Consider the following 14994-nt stretch of genomic DNA (forward strand, 5'->3'; position numbering starts at 1 on the left):
GTGGGCAGATCACCTGAGGTCAGGAATTCAAGACCAGGCTGACCAATATGGTGGAACCCCGTCTCTACTAAAAATACAAAAATTAGCCAGGCGTGGTGGCGGGGACCTGTAGTCCCAGCTACTCAGGAGGCTGAAACAGGAGAATTGCTTGAACCCGGGAGGCAGAGATTGCAGTGAGCCAAGATCATGCCACTGCACTCCAGCATGGGTGAGAGAGTGAGACTCCATCTCAAAAAAAAGAAAGAAAGAAAGAAAGAAAGAAAACTGCTTAAAAAATAACTTCTCAGCCGGGTGCAGTGGCTCATGCCTGTAATCCCAGCACTTTGGGAGGCCGAGGTGGATGGATCACGAGGTCAGGAGATCGAGACCATCCTGGCCAACATGGTGAAACCCTGTCTTTACTAAAACTACAAAAATTAGCTGGGCATGGTGGCAAGTGCCTGTAATCCCAGCTACTCGAGAGGCTAGGCAGGAGAATCACTTGAACCAGGAAGTCAGAGGTTGCAGGGAGCCAAGATCGCGCCACTGCACTCCAGCCTGGAAACAGAGCAAGACTCTGTCTCACAAAAATAATAATAATAATAATAATAATAATAATAATAATAACTTCTCATAGGCTTAGATTAGCAATCCAAAATGCCAGTTTCCAATTTCAAGAATCTTATACATTATAAATTTGTGTGGTAGGTAGTGCCATGCTCTTTCAAATGGTTTGCATACATTGCCAGCAAGCATTATATAAGCCCCAGTCATGCTTTTTTTTTTTCCCAATCACTTTTGCTTCAGAGCCTGTCTTCTGCCTTAAGTGATCACATCCAAGTCATCCACTCTGTGCCTGAAAGTCATTCTTGTCATAACCAGGAAACTCTCTTGGTTTCTAAGTTAAGCCTTGGTTTAACTTAGAAATCCACCTAACTTAACTCACCTAACTTAAGTGGAACCTAAACCTAAAAACAAGACAAAAAAAATCGGAATAATTAAGCAATAATATTTGAAGCTAGGCAATGAGCTACAAATAAATCATTCTGCTGTACAAGTTTAATAGTGGGCAAATAATATTTACTTTTGGTTTACAATGGAAAGCATAGCAAATTAACTTGTGATTTTTTTTTCCATTTCTAATCAATAACTTGGTGTTTAAAGTGAAATAAGCTAAGGGTAGGAACTTGTCCATTTTTCAGATGCCTACTGCTCTCGTTGGACTGAAACTGCAGTGATAGAACCAAACAAGGTATAATACCATAGTACCGGGAGGGCTGGGTGAATAATTTACATTCTTACGTGTAATAACTAACTTTTATTCTCTTATGCTATTTAGCACACAGCACGTCTCCAAGGTATTAATTGATAGTGAACACAATTCTAAACTTTAAGGTTAATATGTTTCCTAGAACTGCCATGACAAAATACCACAAATTAGGTAGCGTAAAACAACAGAAATTTATTCTCTCACAGCTCTGTGGGCTGGAAGTCAAAAAGCAAGGCGAAAGCAGGCCCACGCTTTCTCTGAAGCTCGGGTACAGTCTGTTCTTGCCTCTCCCTAGCTTCTGGTGGTGGCCGGCAATCCTTAATGTTCCTTGCCTTGCAGCCTAATCACTCCAGTCTCTGCTTCCGCCATGACCTGTGGGGTTCTGTTTTCTCCCATTCTTCTGAGGTCTCCAGTCATAATACTGGATTCAGGCCCATCACAGTCACCTCATCTTAACTTGATCGCATCTGTACAGACCTTATTTCCAAATAAGGTCATATTCACAGGTGCTGGGGACTGAATTTAAATATGTTTTGGGGTGACACAATTCAATCCATCACAATATGTATCTAATATGACATTTTTAAAACTAATGAGGATCATTGACCCCAAGGCCTAAAGACTCAGCAATATTAGAACTGAGTTTCAAGGGCTACCGTGACCTCTCTAAAGCTAAAATCTGGCTATTTCATATTTCCACTCAAAGTTCTTGAAAACCTAAAAATCTTAACTCTTCACATGGCATGATCTGGCCCAATCCTTTGCCACCCCCCTCCCTACCCCTCATCTCTTCCTTTTCCCTTCTTGCAACTATATCCACTTTTTGTGGTTTCTGGAATATGCCAAGGTCTCTCACGTCTTTCGCTTTTGCACATCTGCCGGTCTCCCTGAATGGTACCCAGCTTTTTCACCTGACAAATTCATTTCTTTAGTTTTGGCTGAAGAATTTCTTCCTCTGTAAAGCCATCCCTGCTGTTTCTGGGCCGTCTTAACATTCCTTCTGTGCTGCTAGAAGACATTTAGTACGGGGCTAGATGCCTAAAAATCAGAATCAAGATTCTCATCCTGGCTTCACCATTGAGTAGCTGTGACCTTGAGCCAAGTATTTAAGCTTTCAGTGCCTGTTCCCTCATTTATAACATGGAAATATAAGTAGTACTATTCTTGGGGTTAGCTTGTGATTTCATTGAGTTAATACATGTAAAGCACTCACAAGTGACTGGTACCTGTTTTCAGTGTTGGTTATGGTATCTTAATCACCGCTATTCTCAGATCAGTGTAATCTCTGGCATATATCCTTCTCACTAGATTATAAACTATTCGAGGGCAGGGATCCTATTTTTCCTTGGAGTCTTTCCAGCTTAGAACAGTGCTTAGCATACAAAGATTTGAAGCCTAAAATTCAGAGGCTCCAAGCCAAAGAAGAAAATGGGGAATGGTTCCTCTTTGTCTAAGAGACTTGTAAGGATATAGCAGAGCCATCTGAGGGATGAAGGATGGGAGAAGGTGAAGAAACAAGAAAAGTAATTGCCATGAGGAAGGAACAAGTTGTTGATATATAATTGTATCCCCAGCACCTGATACCAAGCTCATCATTAGTACCCAACAAATATATGATGGATGAGGCAAAATGGAGGTTATAAAATCAGGAGTGTAACAGAAATCAAAACATAATTTGGGGTTGGGCGTGGTGGCTCACGCCTGTAATCCCAGCACTTTGAGAGGCCAAGGCGGGCAGATCACCAGGTCAGGAGTTCAAGACCAGCCTGGCCAACATGGTGAAACCCCGTCTCTACTAAAAATACAAAAATTAGCTGGGCGTGGGGGCGCGTGCCTGTAATCCCAGCTACTCAGGAGGCTGAGGCAGGACAATTGCTTGAACCAGGGAGTCGGAGGTTGCAGTGAGCCAAGATCATGCCACTACGCTCCAGCCTGGCGACAGGGCAAGACTCCATCACAAACAAACAAACAAACAAAACACATAATTTTGTCCTTTAAATATCCAAACAAAAATTACAGATATAATATCACATGCCATTTATGTATATAAATTGCTCACATGTAAAGAAAGATTAAGCTTGCAAACCACGATGTCCAAGAAATCTCTTCTCAATGTTCCAAAACCTTTCTGTTTACGAACTGATAAATATCGAGGCATGTTCTTTTCCATATCAGTCTTGTATAATTTGCTGCCCATCAGGATCTGGGAGATATTACATGGTTGGAATATCAGGTTTTCGTTTAAAGTATGAGAAATATATTTGTATAGAAAACGTACTTGTTTAAGAAATTTTGCTAAATTCACATTTCTTAAACTTTTACTCGTATATCCCACATCATAGTGATACGAACAGAACCTACTTGACACAAGAGCTCAGAATACCAAGTATTTACTCCACAAATATTACTTCCTAAAAAATGATAAAAATCAGGCCTGGTGAAATGCTTAGGATGCAAAGTCAGGATAACATTATAGAAAACATTTATGTTTTGCCCAAATGGTCTCTTAAAAAACACAAACTTCTAGATAAATAAGTTTGCAAATCTGTAAGTCTTGTTCCCCATTTATTTTTTTGTTGTGATTCAGAAATACAAGGTATGAAAATTAGATTACAATTCTGCCACAAAAGCTTCTAAAGTAGCAAACACAACTTTGTGTATCAAAATAGCCATGTGCGCTTTTATCAGTTAAAAAGTCTTTAGAGTTATCACATCAAGCAAGTGTAAAATATAATAGCTACTATCTCCCCTTCAAAATTGCAAATCCACAGTTACTGCACTGAAGTATAATCCGAAGAGCAAGATTTAGTCCAGAATATGGAAGGTTCTGGTTGGCAGGTACTTTTTAAAGCTGACTTACTAAGAACTAAAAGAAATGAGAAATATACAAAGCATCTTATGTCAAAGAGTATGAATATTTAAAAGTGGCCTCAAGTGAGTAATACATGTTTAAATTAGAACCTGATGTAATTAAATGTTTATGTAATTTAGCAAAAATATATATATAATTGCTTTCTTCTAGAAAGATAAAGACATAAAATTCTTTGAACCAAAGCAATATTACCAAATGTTTTCATCACCTAAATACTAGAAACAATCTCTCAAAATTTCACTTGCAATGATCAATAATATATGGTTTAACAGATCCAGATAAAGATTTTTTTTCTTTTTTTTTTTTTTTGAGACAGAGTCTCGCACTGTCACCTAGGCTGGAGTGCAGTGGCGCAATCTTGGCTCACTGCAACCTCTGCCTCCTGGGTTCAAGCGATTCTCCTGCCTCAGCCTCCTGAGTAGCTGGCGCCCGCCACACACAGGCGCCTGCCACCGTGTCCAGCTAATTTTTTGTATTTTCAGTAGAGACGGGGTTTCACCATGTTGGCCAGGCTGGTCTCGAACTCCTGACCTCGTGATTCGCCTGTCTCAGCCTCCCAAAGTGCTGGGATTACTGGCGTGAGCCACCACGCCCGGCCCAGAGAAAGATTTATAACTAAATATATAGAAAAGAATAATTCCCATGATTTTGTTTTTGTAAAAAGAAGTAAGGATTGTTTTCTATATATTTTTCAATTATGAAGTCCTTGAACATATTTGGGGATTTTTATGGCTCAATGTTAATTTTTTAATATACTTGCAAATACATTATAATAAAATAATACAACCAAATCAAAAAGCAGCCACTTAAAAACTGAAATTCACAAAATGAGCTGTTCTTGGCTACATACAGAAGGCCAACATTTAAACTGAATGATAATTAAACGTTTACTACCATAGGTAATATTTACGCACTTCTGGGTCCAATAGAAGGTGTTGAATCAATGTGATCCTTTAAAAACAAAGTCATTAGTTTCCGTAACAATCACACTCAGGGTTGGTTCTTTTTTTCTTCCCCCAGCAGAAAAACAAGTTGTTCAAGCATTGAACCAAAAAATATAAAAAATAGAATTTGCCTTGTAATATTTTCATGTTTTGGATGAAGTCAGCCCATTATGTGAGGCTGCTTAAATGCCTACAACCCCTTATCCAAAACCCGCTGGGCTGGATGTGTTTCAGAATTCATAATCTTTGGGGTTTTAAAAAGGCAATATGGGCATATTTTGAATATTACAAAACACCTCCACAGCATCTAAGGGAAAACCTATAATCAAATCCATGGATATTTCTTCAGGGAAAATTAAGTCACAATGAAGTAGCATAAATATAAAGTACAATACTCTCACATCAGTTCAAGTCAGATTTTGCTGCCAAATGAATTACGGTATCAAATTTAGAAAAACACAAACCAACTTAGATTTCGAAGTTTCTTTGCTAAGGGACTGTAGCCCTTTAACATCTCTGACAAGGAAATTTCTTCTCTGACATGATGGTCTCTGCAAATCTGCTCTCATATTTCAGTGGAAATTGGGATAGGGACAATTGTCTTCTACCGCAAAACAGGGGCTCTCAACAGGTGCTCTTAAATTTATTCGGGTAGTAGATTACCATCTCACTGGAGGCAACAGGTTCTATGAGGATAATTTGAAAAAATATATTGAAATAACTATTTAATGTTATTAAATCAGACACTTTCTTGGACTAGATTCTAATATAGATCAGCAGTAGAAGGTGCCAACATTCGAGGAACATTTATGAGAAAAGAATAAAACTGAGAAACATCCAGACATTAATGCAATTGTTTTCTGCAAATTATAAAAAGCTATGATTCCATTTTAGCAGCTGCACAACGCAACTCGATATAATCTGCAAACTTTGGCTCTGTAAGACTGAAAGATTTATGAAACCATTCTGGCATCAACCCATCCTTACAAGCTGCAATGAAATCATTCCAAGCAATTTATATATTAAATAATAATTTCTTCTGTATCTATCAGTGTTTAAAATATGCTATTCTCAGATCTTAATAAAAACATGGGTTAAAGCCATAAAACATCTTATTTTTTAAAAAGTTAAGTCATTTAAAGTCAAGAGCTTCAAAAACTCAAGAGCAAAAAAAAGGTATGCTATAATTTTTAGGTCTTCAATTTTTGTATAGAGTTTTTATGTTTTTTAAGTTTTATTTTACAATTTAAGAAAGTTTCCTCTTCAAAAACAGAGGTCTTTTCTCACCGAAGTGATCTGGAATGTGCTACCGTATATGCAAGGAAGACAGGTTACAAGATCAAGGTGAAGGCAGCTCTCCTCAAGTCAGAGGAGTGTGAACAATGAGCAGGATGCAACGGGGAATGTTGGCTAAAACTCATCAGAGGCACTTGCTGTCAAAATCCACTAATGAACACAGATCCTATAACCTGGAAACAACATTCAGGGGCCAAGAGGGTTTCCAGGGCTACAGAGTTAGATGAGTGGGCTTCCTTAGCATGTGGTATAAAAATAATGTCTGCAGGTTCAGTGGGAGAGTCACATAAAGAACAGGTGATCATTTTATTTCAAAAGCAACTCTCTTCAAAATCAGCCTTGTCTTTTTTTCTTAATGAGCAAACTTTATACCATCATCAGCCTTTCCTAAAAGCTACATATATGCTCCGAGAAAAAGTCACACTTTTTAATTTTTTCATTTGCTTTAATTAATTCATGAGTTAAGTTAAAAAGTCAAGTCGAAAATTTTAGCTGGTCTTTTTTTTCCTTTTTTTTTTTTTTTACAAAAATATTACAGCAGTATAAGCAAAATTGGAAAGGAAGAGATGGGAAAAACAAGTAGATGCTAAAATGGGATAGGTGAACTTCAGGTCATCATGGTTATTGAAGGAACTGTAAATTCTTAAGCTTCTAGATTTTACCGCTCTTCAGAAAACATTTAAGGAGGCTGCCTTTCCCCATGAATGAGAAATGAAACGTTCCCTAAGCATTTGAGTCTAAAGACAAGAAAGCATTGCTTTTCCTACTGGAAAATATCTCTTTACTTCCCATTGCACTGCCCTCTCCCGTCCCCCTCGTAGCTTTATGGGATCAAAGAGAGAGAGAAGCCATGAGTTTCCACCAGCAGCAGAGTGAGTCCTGAGCACAACACAGGGCTGTCAGTGACATTCAGACTCACTGGCAATGGGTCCAACTCATCTTGAATAAAATACACAAAGAAAGAAAGAGAGAGAGAGAGAGAGACAGAGAGACAGAGAGACAGAGAGACAGAGAGACAGAGAGACAGAGAGAGAGAGAGAGAGAACCCGAGAAACCGAAAATTGTTTTTTTATGGAAGGTTTAAACAAAGTCCTCAAGATTTCTTTATGTGCCAGAAAGTACATTTCTGGACTTAATCTCTAGGGGGGCAAAAAAGAATAAATAGAAACAAATTTAATGATCATTCTGGAATCCTGTTCTTTACTTTGTTCACACGCTATTAATTCTCATACCTTCACCTCTCTACCACAAAGCCTAGAAAATCAAATGGTCTCCTATTCCATATTTGCATAGTATTAATAATACTGTCAGGAGGTGAACTTCTAGCCCCTTGCTTGCAGCCACATTCCTGAAGAGCACTGGTCCAATCTGACGTATTCGAAAACAATACATAAGTGTCTATAGGCCAAAAATTGGGTCCCATTTAGCAGCAAGCTGTTCAAATTATTTGGAAACAGTCTTCTTCCAAGGGGTAAGAAGATTAGGCAGTTTTGTCTGCATTTTCAGATTTTTCTCTCTGCATCATGCAGCGACGAACTATGCTGTCAAAACTTCCAAGGTAAAACAAAGCAATAGTGCGGAAAAGGCCCATGGTGACCACCTGCAAGATAAAGAGAGAGCTTTTAGTGCATCCAACGGTACAAGACTATTTCAAGGTACCTAGGTCTCTAACAAACAGTTTCTAAGACAAATCTTCTAGTCTGCTCTAAGGATGAATATAATGAAAACTCTGTAAATGTCAGTAAGCTGTGAGAACAGAATGTGTGTGCTCTGCACCGCTGGACAGCCCAGATACATAACAAAATATTTGTCCAATTAATAAATTCAAACCATAAGCAGAATAAAATATATATTGCTTGCAGTCTTAGGGTTATAATAGCTTTAAAAAGACCCACTGCAGCATCTCAAATAGCCAAACTACAATCAAGGCTTTTTTGGTTTGCAATTTATGTTCTGAGCATGAAAGCGAGACCCTATACTAGGTGCTGTGAACACTGTGGTGAGAGACACAGTCCCTGCCCTCAATGAGCTTATTCTCAGGCTGGAAAGACAAGTAAAATTGAAACTACTGCCTCAGGGTTGAGACCCGTGATTACTGATATCCTGTTGCTCAGGATGGAGTGCAGTGGCATGAACGCGGCTCACTATAGCTTTGACCTCCCAAACTCAAAGGATTCTCCTGCCTCATCCTCCCAAGCAGCTGGGACCATAGGCATGAGTCCCCGTGCATAAGAGAATGGAAAAATCAGGCCGGGCGCGGTGGCTCACGCCTGTAATCCCAGCACTTTGGGAGGCCGAGGCGGGTGGATCACGAGGTCAGGAGATTGAGACCATCCTGGCTAACACGGTGAAACCCCATCTCTACTAAAAATACAAAAAAATTATCCGCGTGTGGCGGTGTGCGCCTGTAGTCCAAGCTGCTGGGGAGGCTGAGGCAGGAGAATGGTGTGAACCCAGGAGGCAGAGCGTGCAGTGAGCTGAGATCGTGCCACTGCACTTCAGCCTGGGTGACAGAGCAAGACTCCGTCTCAAAAAAAAAAAAAAAAAAAAAAGAGAATAGAAAAATCCCTTTGTTTTTTTCCCTACACCCTCAGAGCACTGAAGCCAGTCCTTGGATCTTCCGGAAAAAACAATATTTAAGGTGAGACCTGAAGGATTAGAAGTTGGCAGGACACAGAGAAGATTCCAAAAAGAAGAAGATGGGTAAAGAAAGAAAGAAAAAAAAGAGCCTGGAAAGGTACGTGGGGTAGGAGATCAGGTGGTTTATGGCATGCGATGGAAATTTTTTTAATTTTTAAATCCTTTTTAGAGACAGGGTCTTGCTCTGTCACCCAGGCTGGAGTGCAGGAGTATGATCACAGCTCACTGTAGCTTCAGACTTCTGGACTCAAGCAGAAGTCTCCCAGTTGCTAGGAATACAGGTACACACCACCACGCCTGGCTTTCTTTTCTTTTACATTTTTTTGTAGAGACAGGGTCTCACTATGTTGCCCAGGCTGATCTCAAACTCCTGAGCTCAAGCGATCCTCCTGACTTGGCCTCCCAAAGTGCTGAGATTATAGGCATGAGCCACCATACTCAGGTGCAATGGAATTTTTAAAGCTTTATCCTGATGGTATCAAGGAGTCATTGAATGTTTTCATGCAATGTATAGTTGCAGTTTAGAAACAACTGGTGTGGAAAATGTGAGGGTACACTCAAACGCATCCAGGGGGCCTGAGCAGGGGGTTGCAGACCATAGTGGTTGCAGGGACTGTGCTCCTCCCTCAGGAGCAGCTGCCACCTGTGCTTGCTGATGACTGCCAGGTAAGAATGCAGACTCTGTGCAGCTAAACCTTCTGATTTTCCAAGAAAAGTCTGAAATCTGGACCTTTTATATAAAACCTAATTTTAAAACTATTTTAAAATCTTAAACACACACACTCACACCAGATGGACCCAACAAAACTGCTTTACAGGCCCATGGGAATCGTTTACAACCTCTGGCTCAAAAAGTGTGTAACTCAAGCAGGGGGCCTGCTGCGGCAACCCAGGCCTGGGCTCCAGAAGCACTGCCAGAATTGCAGAGAATGGAAGAATGTGAAGAACTGAGTGACAAGGATGACAATGATCTCTGACGTGAGGGACAGAAGCAGGGGAGTCCAGGACAACACGCCAGGTGTGAGCCACCATGCCAGCCCAAAAATTAAAACATAAAAGAATTCATGCATTTGTTCAGCTCAGGGATTCTGGAGTTCCTACTAAGTGCCAGGCGCTGGCTGTTAGGGGTACAACGGCAAACAAGAGGTGTGGGCCTGGTCCTCAAAGAGCTTACATCTAACACAGTGTCAACCTCTAAGAGAATGGCAAAGACAGTAGGTACATTACAGAATGAAAAGAAAAGAGGGCTTGGGAAAGACCCTGAAGAAAACCAACAACTAAGTCATTTATATAAGTCTGAATGTGGTTGACTGCACAGAATTTAGTACTTGTTAACAACTATCCCATGGCTTTGTCTTTCCAGAGCATTCCCTCTATTGTAACCCCTACTTCATTACACTGCACTACTATCTTTTTTTTTTTTTTTGAGACAGAGTTTTGCCCTTGTAGCCTAGGCTGGAGTGCAGTGGCTTGATCTCGGCTCACTGCAACCTCCACCTCCCGGGTTCAAGTAATTCTCCTACCTCAACCTCCCGAGTAGCTGGGATTACAGGCGTCCGCCACCATGCCCAGCTAATTTTTGTGTTTTTAGTAGAAACAGTTTCACCATCTTGGCCAGGCTGGTCTCAAACTCCTGATCTCAAGTGATCTACCCACCTCAGCCTCTCAAAGTGCTGGGATTACAGGCGTGAGCCACCGCGCCCGGACTACTATCACCTTTTTGGTCAGTGCATTCCACTTGACTGTATGCCCCTGAAGCTGGAGAGGTCGCCTTCCATCTGATTCCCCATGAGCAAGTACAGTGCCTAGCACACCAATGAAACACTGTGTATCTTGGACAAAATAATACATTCTATAAGCGAAGCAACTGTTTAATCCATGATTCGTGTCTCACTAAATTTAGCTGTGTGTGACCTGATTCACCTAGAAAAGGTTTTCTAGTCTAATATCCCAGTACTTTTTAAGCAAGGCTACCCCTTACTCTAGAGGAGTATTCCATTTTCAAAACACATTGGAGCAGTGGTTCTTAGGTGAAAATCCAGGTTAACACCTCAACAGCAGATACGGTGTTTTATTTCTCTATCTGCAAGGCCCGGCACTGAAGACTTCTTGCCATTCTAAATTCCTGAAGTTATATCTTTAACCTATTTACTCATTCCTGGTGGAGGAAGAGGAAAAGTTGATAGCTCCATAAAAATACATTGTCAAATAAAGTTACTTAGTTTTCCCTTAACCTCTTCTCATCAAGGTTTGATGAAAGGCAGTTTTTCTCTTGTCCATCGGCCTGTCTGATTGCTAGCCTAGGCAGAGCTTACCTGCTGGAGCCCCTCAGTAATAGAAGTTACTGGAGCCATCCCACAGGTCAGGGCCGAGAGCATGTACCCATCTGAGCCAAGGGAACTGTTGAAATTTCCTTGCTAAAAGAGAAGAAAAAGAAGAGAAAGAGGGAATCCTAGTAATGTGGACAGAAATCAGTCGGACACATCAGAAACAGTGGAGTGTGCTCGTTCACTTTAAGTGAGATAAAATGGTCACAAAGCATTGATCAGCACTCAGAAATGGACGCACGGCCTTGGCAGATGGCAGTTCTCAACAAGTGAGTCCACGGACCCCTGCGGGCCCCCAAGGACAAATGATTGTCCTAATAACACTAAGACATTCATTGTCTTTTCCACAGTGTGTTGTATGGAAAATACAGTTTTGCCTCTGCAAAACTGCAGAGACATGGGCAAGAACCACGGGGTTCTTGCCAAACTGTACTAGGAGTCATTGTCACCTCTACTACCACACGCACTCGCAGTAATAAATAATACACAAAGAAAATACAAGTTCTAAAATTCTTTTAAAAATCAAAGTGTCAGTTTTGCTTTAAAATCCTCTTGATAAAGCAGGAAAATTCATCATTTTGTTCAATGGCAACCCTCGAGGACATGTCTTCTTAATACTCTGTGTGACAAATGAGAATGCGCCCAACGCGCTTCCGCAGCACTGCATTCCAGGGCGGGACAACTGCCTGGAACAAAAGTCCTTGTGCAGCTCCTGAAGTCAAGGGCTAAACTGCCACTTCTTTCATGGAGCATCATTTGTATTGTTTATTTATTTATTTTCGACAGAATCTCACTCTGTGGCCCAGGCTGGAATGCAGTGGTGTGATCTCTGCTCACTGCAACCTCTGCCTCCCAGGTTCAAGTGATTCTCCTGCCTCAGACTCCCAAGTAGCTGGGATTACAGGCATGCACCACCACACCCGGGTAATTTTTGTATTTTTAGTAGAGATGGGGTTTCACCATGTTGGCCAGGCTGGTCTCAAACCCCTGAGCTCAAGCAATCCAGCCGCCTCGGCCTCCAAAAGTGCTGGGATTACAGGCATGAGCCACCGTGCCTGGCTGGAGAGCATAATTTTTATATGAAAGACCATTGACAGGAAATCTATAGTAATTCAGACTTAGGTATGTGGCAGATGTGCAGAAAGCGAAGCAAGCAAGTGTGTCACTTCAGGAAAAACAACTGGCCACGTGTCATCAATGTGAAATCTGAGCCTTCAAGAAAAAATTAAGATTTGGAAAAACTAGTATCCACCATCACGAGACTGTCAGCTGCATACTTTTATGATAAGATCAGCAGTAATACTGATGAAAGCGATTTTTCTGATCACTCAGTCAACCCATATTTTCCAAATGACTAATGCATAATGTTACGAAATCATGAATGGTTAAAAGATCCATTCAAAGTACAAGACGGACCAATGGAATTTAATGTAACAGAGAACAAAACATTCATTGATGTAGTTTCCAATTCTATACTGCAACTAACCTTTAAGAAACTACCATTTGTTGAGTTTGGGTTTGATATCAAAAAAGAATGTCCATAATTATCTGAAAAGCCTAGTAAAATAGTCTTCCCTTTCCCAACTCCGTATCTGTCTCAGGCCAGATTTTCTGTATATCCTTCCATCAAAACAACATTATTACAACAGATGGAATGCAGAAGCAGCTATTTGAATCCAGCTGTTAATGCAGACCTTAAAGCAACTGGTGAAAATGTGAACCAATGCCACCGTCCTCACTGAACTTTTGTTTTGAAAAGTAGTAAATTTTGTTTAAAAAAAGTCACTTTATATATATGTGACTTTATATATATATATATGTGACTTTATATATATATATATGTGAATATATATATATATATATATATATGGAGTTTTGCTCTTGTTGCCCAGGCTGGAGCACAATGGCTCAATCTCAGCTCACTGCAGTCTCCACCTCCTGGGTTCAAGCGATTCTCCTGTCTCAGCCTCCCAAGTAGCTGGGATTACAGGCGCATGTCACCACACCCGACTAATTTTTGTATTTTTAGTAGAGACGGGGTTTCATCATATTGGTCAGGCTGGTATTGAACTCCTGACTTCAGGTGATCCGCCCGCCTTGGCCTCCCAAAGTGTTGGGATTACAGGCACGAGTCACTGTGCCCAGCCATTTTTGTTATTTTTAATGAATCAATAAATATTACAAACAGCTTCCATTTCAAATATGGCAAATATCAATAAATATAGCCATGTAAATAAACAAAAGTTCTCTGGGGTTGTTGACAATTTGTAAGAATGTAAAGTGGTCAAGAGAAGAAAAGTTTGAAAACCACTAAACTAAATGAATACTGCCAAAATACTAAGAGCTATTTAGCATCATTAGAAACACTGAATGGGCTGGGCACGGAGCTCACGCCTGTAATCCCAGCACTTTGGCCAAGAGGCTGAGGCGTGCGGATTACCCGAAATCAGGAGTTCGAGACCAGCCTGGCCAACATGGTGAAGCCCCATTTCTACTACAAATACAAAAAATTAGCCAGGTGTGGTTGTGAGCACCTGTAATCCCAGCTACTCAGAAGGCCGAGGCAGGAGAATCACTTAAACCCAGGAGGCAGAGGTTGCAGTGAGCCAAGATCGTGCCACTGCACTCCAGCCTGGGCAACAAGAGCAAAACTCCGTCTCAAAACAAACAAACAAACAAAACAACAACAACAACAAAAAACACCAAATGCATTTGCTTTGACCCGAGATAAGCAGGAAAAATAAAGTCTCACTTGTGCCATCTTCCTGAGCCTTTTAATGCACTCAGGACAAAGTTCTTCACACATGTATATATTTCAACAGAATTCACTATTCTCATTCTGCTCAGTTCAGTCTAATGTGACAGCATTTAGGCCACTTCAAGGCTGTCCACCATGTGCTGACACCTCTCATTCCAATGGTCCTATAGATTTTCCAAATTCAGTGTGGGTCTGTGGTTTACAGACATCCCTCATAAATGTGCATTTTTCCGCATTAACAGAAATGTTGTCAAAAAGCATGAGGCACATATGTTGTTCTTCTACAAAACAGCACATCATTTCTTAAAATACCATTTTTGATTCTGAATTAAAAAACATATCAACAGGGAAGACAGGAGGACAGGCCCACGGGGCTGGTGGCACTTTCTCGTTAGCTAACTTTTGGGAAAATGATACTGGGAAGCAGGAATGGGAGAGAAAGCAGCCAGGTGTATATGGGACATAGTATATATCGTTTACACTCATAGGAAAGTCTCATTTTCTTTTTAAAGAACCGGTGTTTCCAGACATCCTTCTAGTAAACCTGTTCCTCAGATTAAGGTATACAATCAGTTTTCAGGAGGCTACTCACTAATATGGAGTCAATAAAGCGTCTAAAAGAAGAAAAGTTGAGTCCAATATTAGATATGACAAATCTGACAGACTAAAAAATTCTAATAATTGATGTTTTGAAGTAAGTCCTTGGACAAATATCTTTTCAGAAATATAGTACTACAAACACAAATAGTACAGAAAACAAGGATTTTACTTACTATGGCATCTTTAACAATTTGTTTGGCCACCTGTTCTGGTTTGCACACAGATGTGGTCTCTGAAATAAGTCGAGTCTCCAAAGGCTAAAAGTGGAAAAACATGTACATAACAATATCATGATTGCCCATTACATT

At 40.5% G+C, this 14994-nt stretch overlaps 1 protein-coding gene across 1 annotated transcript in view; it reads right to left on the bottom strand.

Annotated features, from left to right (window-relative positions):
- The window catches only part of KDSR (3-ketodihydrosphingosine reductase), a 39481-nt gene continuing 28272 nt past the window's right edge, over positions 3786-14994 (bottom strand). The window contains exons 8-10 of the mRNA NM_002035.4: positions 14860-14943; positions 11317-11418; positions 3786-7961 (exon numbers count right to left, since the gene is read on the bottom strand). Of these exons, the coding sequence (NP_002026.1) occupies positions 7842-7961; positions 11317-11418; positions 14860-14943 (306 nt within the window). The 3' untranslated portion in view covers positions 3786-7841. The remainder of the gene's footprint in view (positions 7962-11316; positions 11419-14859; positions 14944-14994) is intronic.

This window comes from Homo sapiens, chromosome 18 (assembly GCF_000001405.40).
Source record: "Homo sapiens chromosome 18, GRCh38.p14 Primary Assembly".
Classification (NCBI taxonomy): Eukaryota; Metazoa; Chordata; class Mammalia; order Primates; family Hominidae; genus Homo; species Homo sapiens.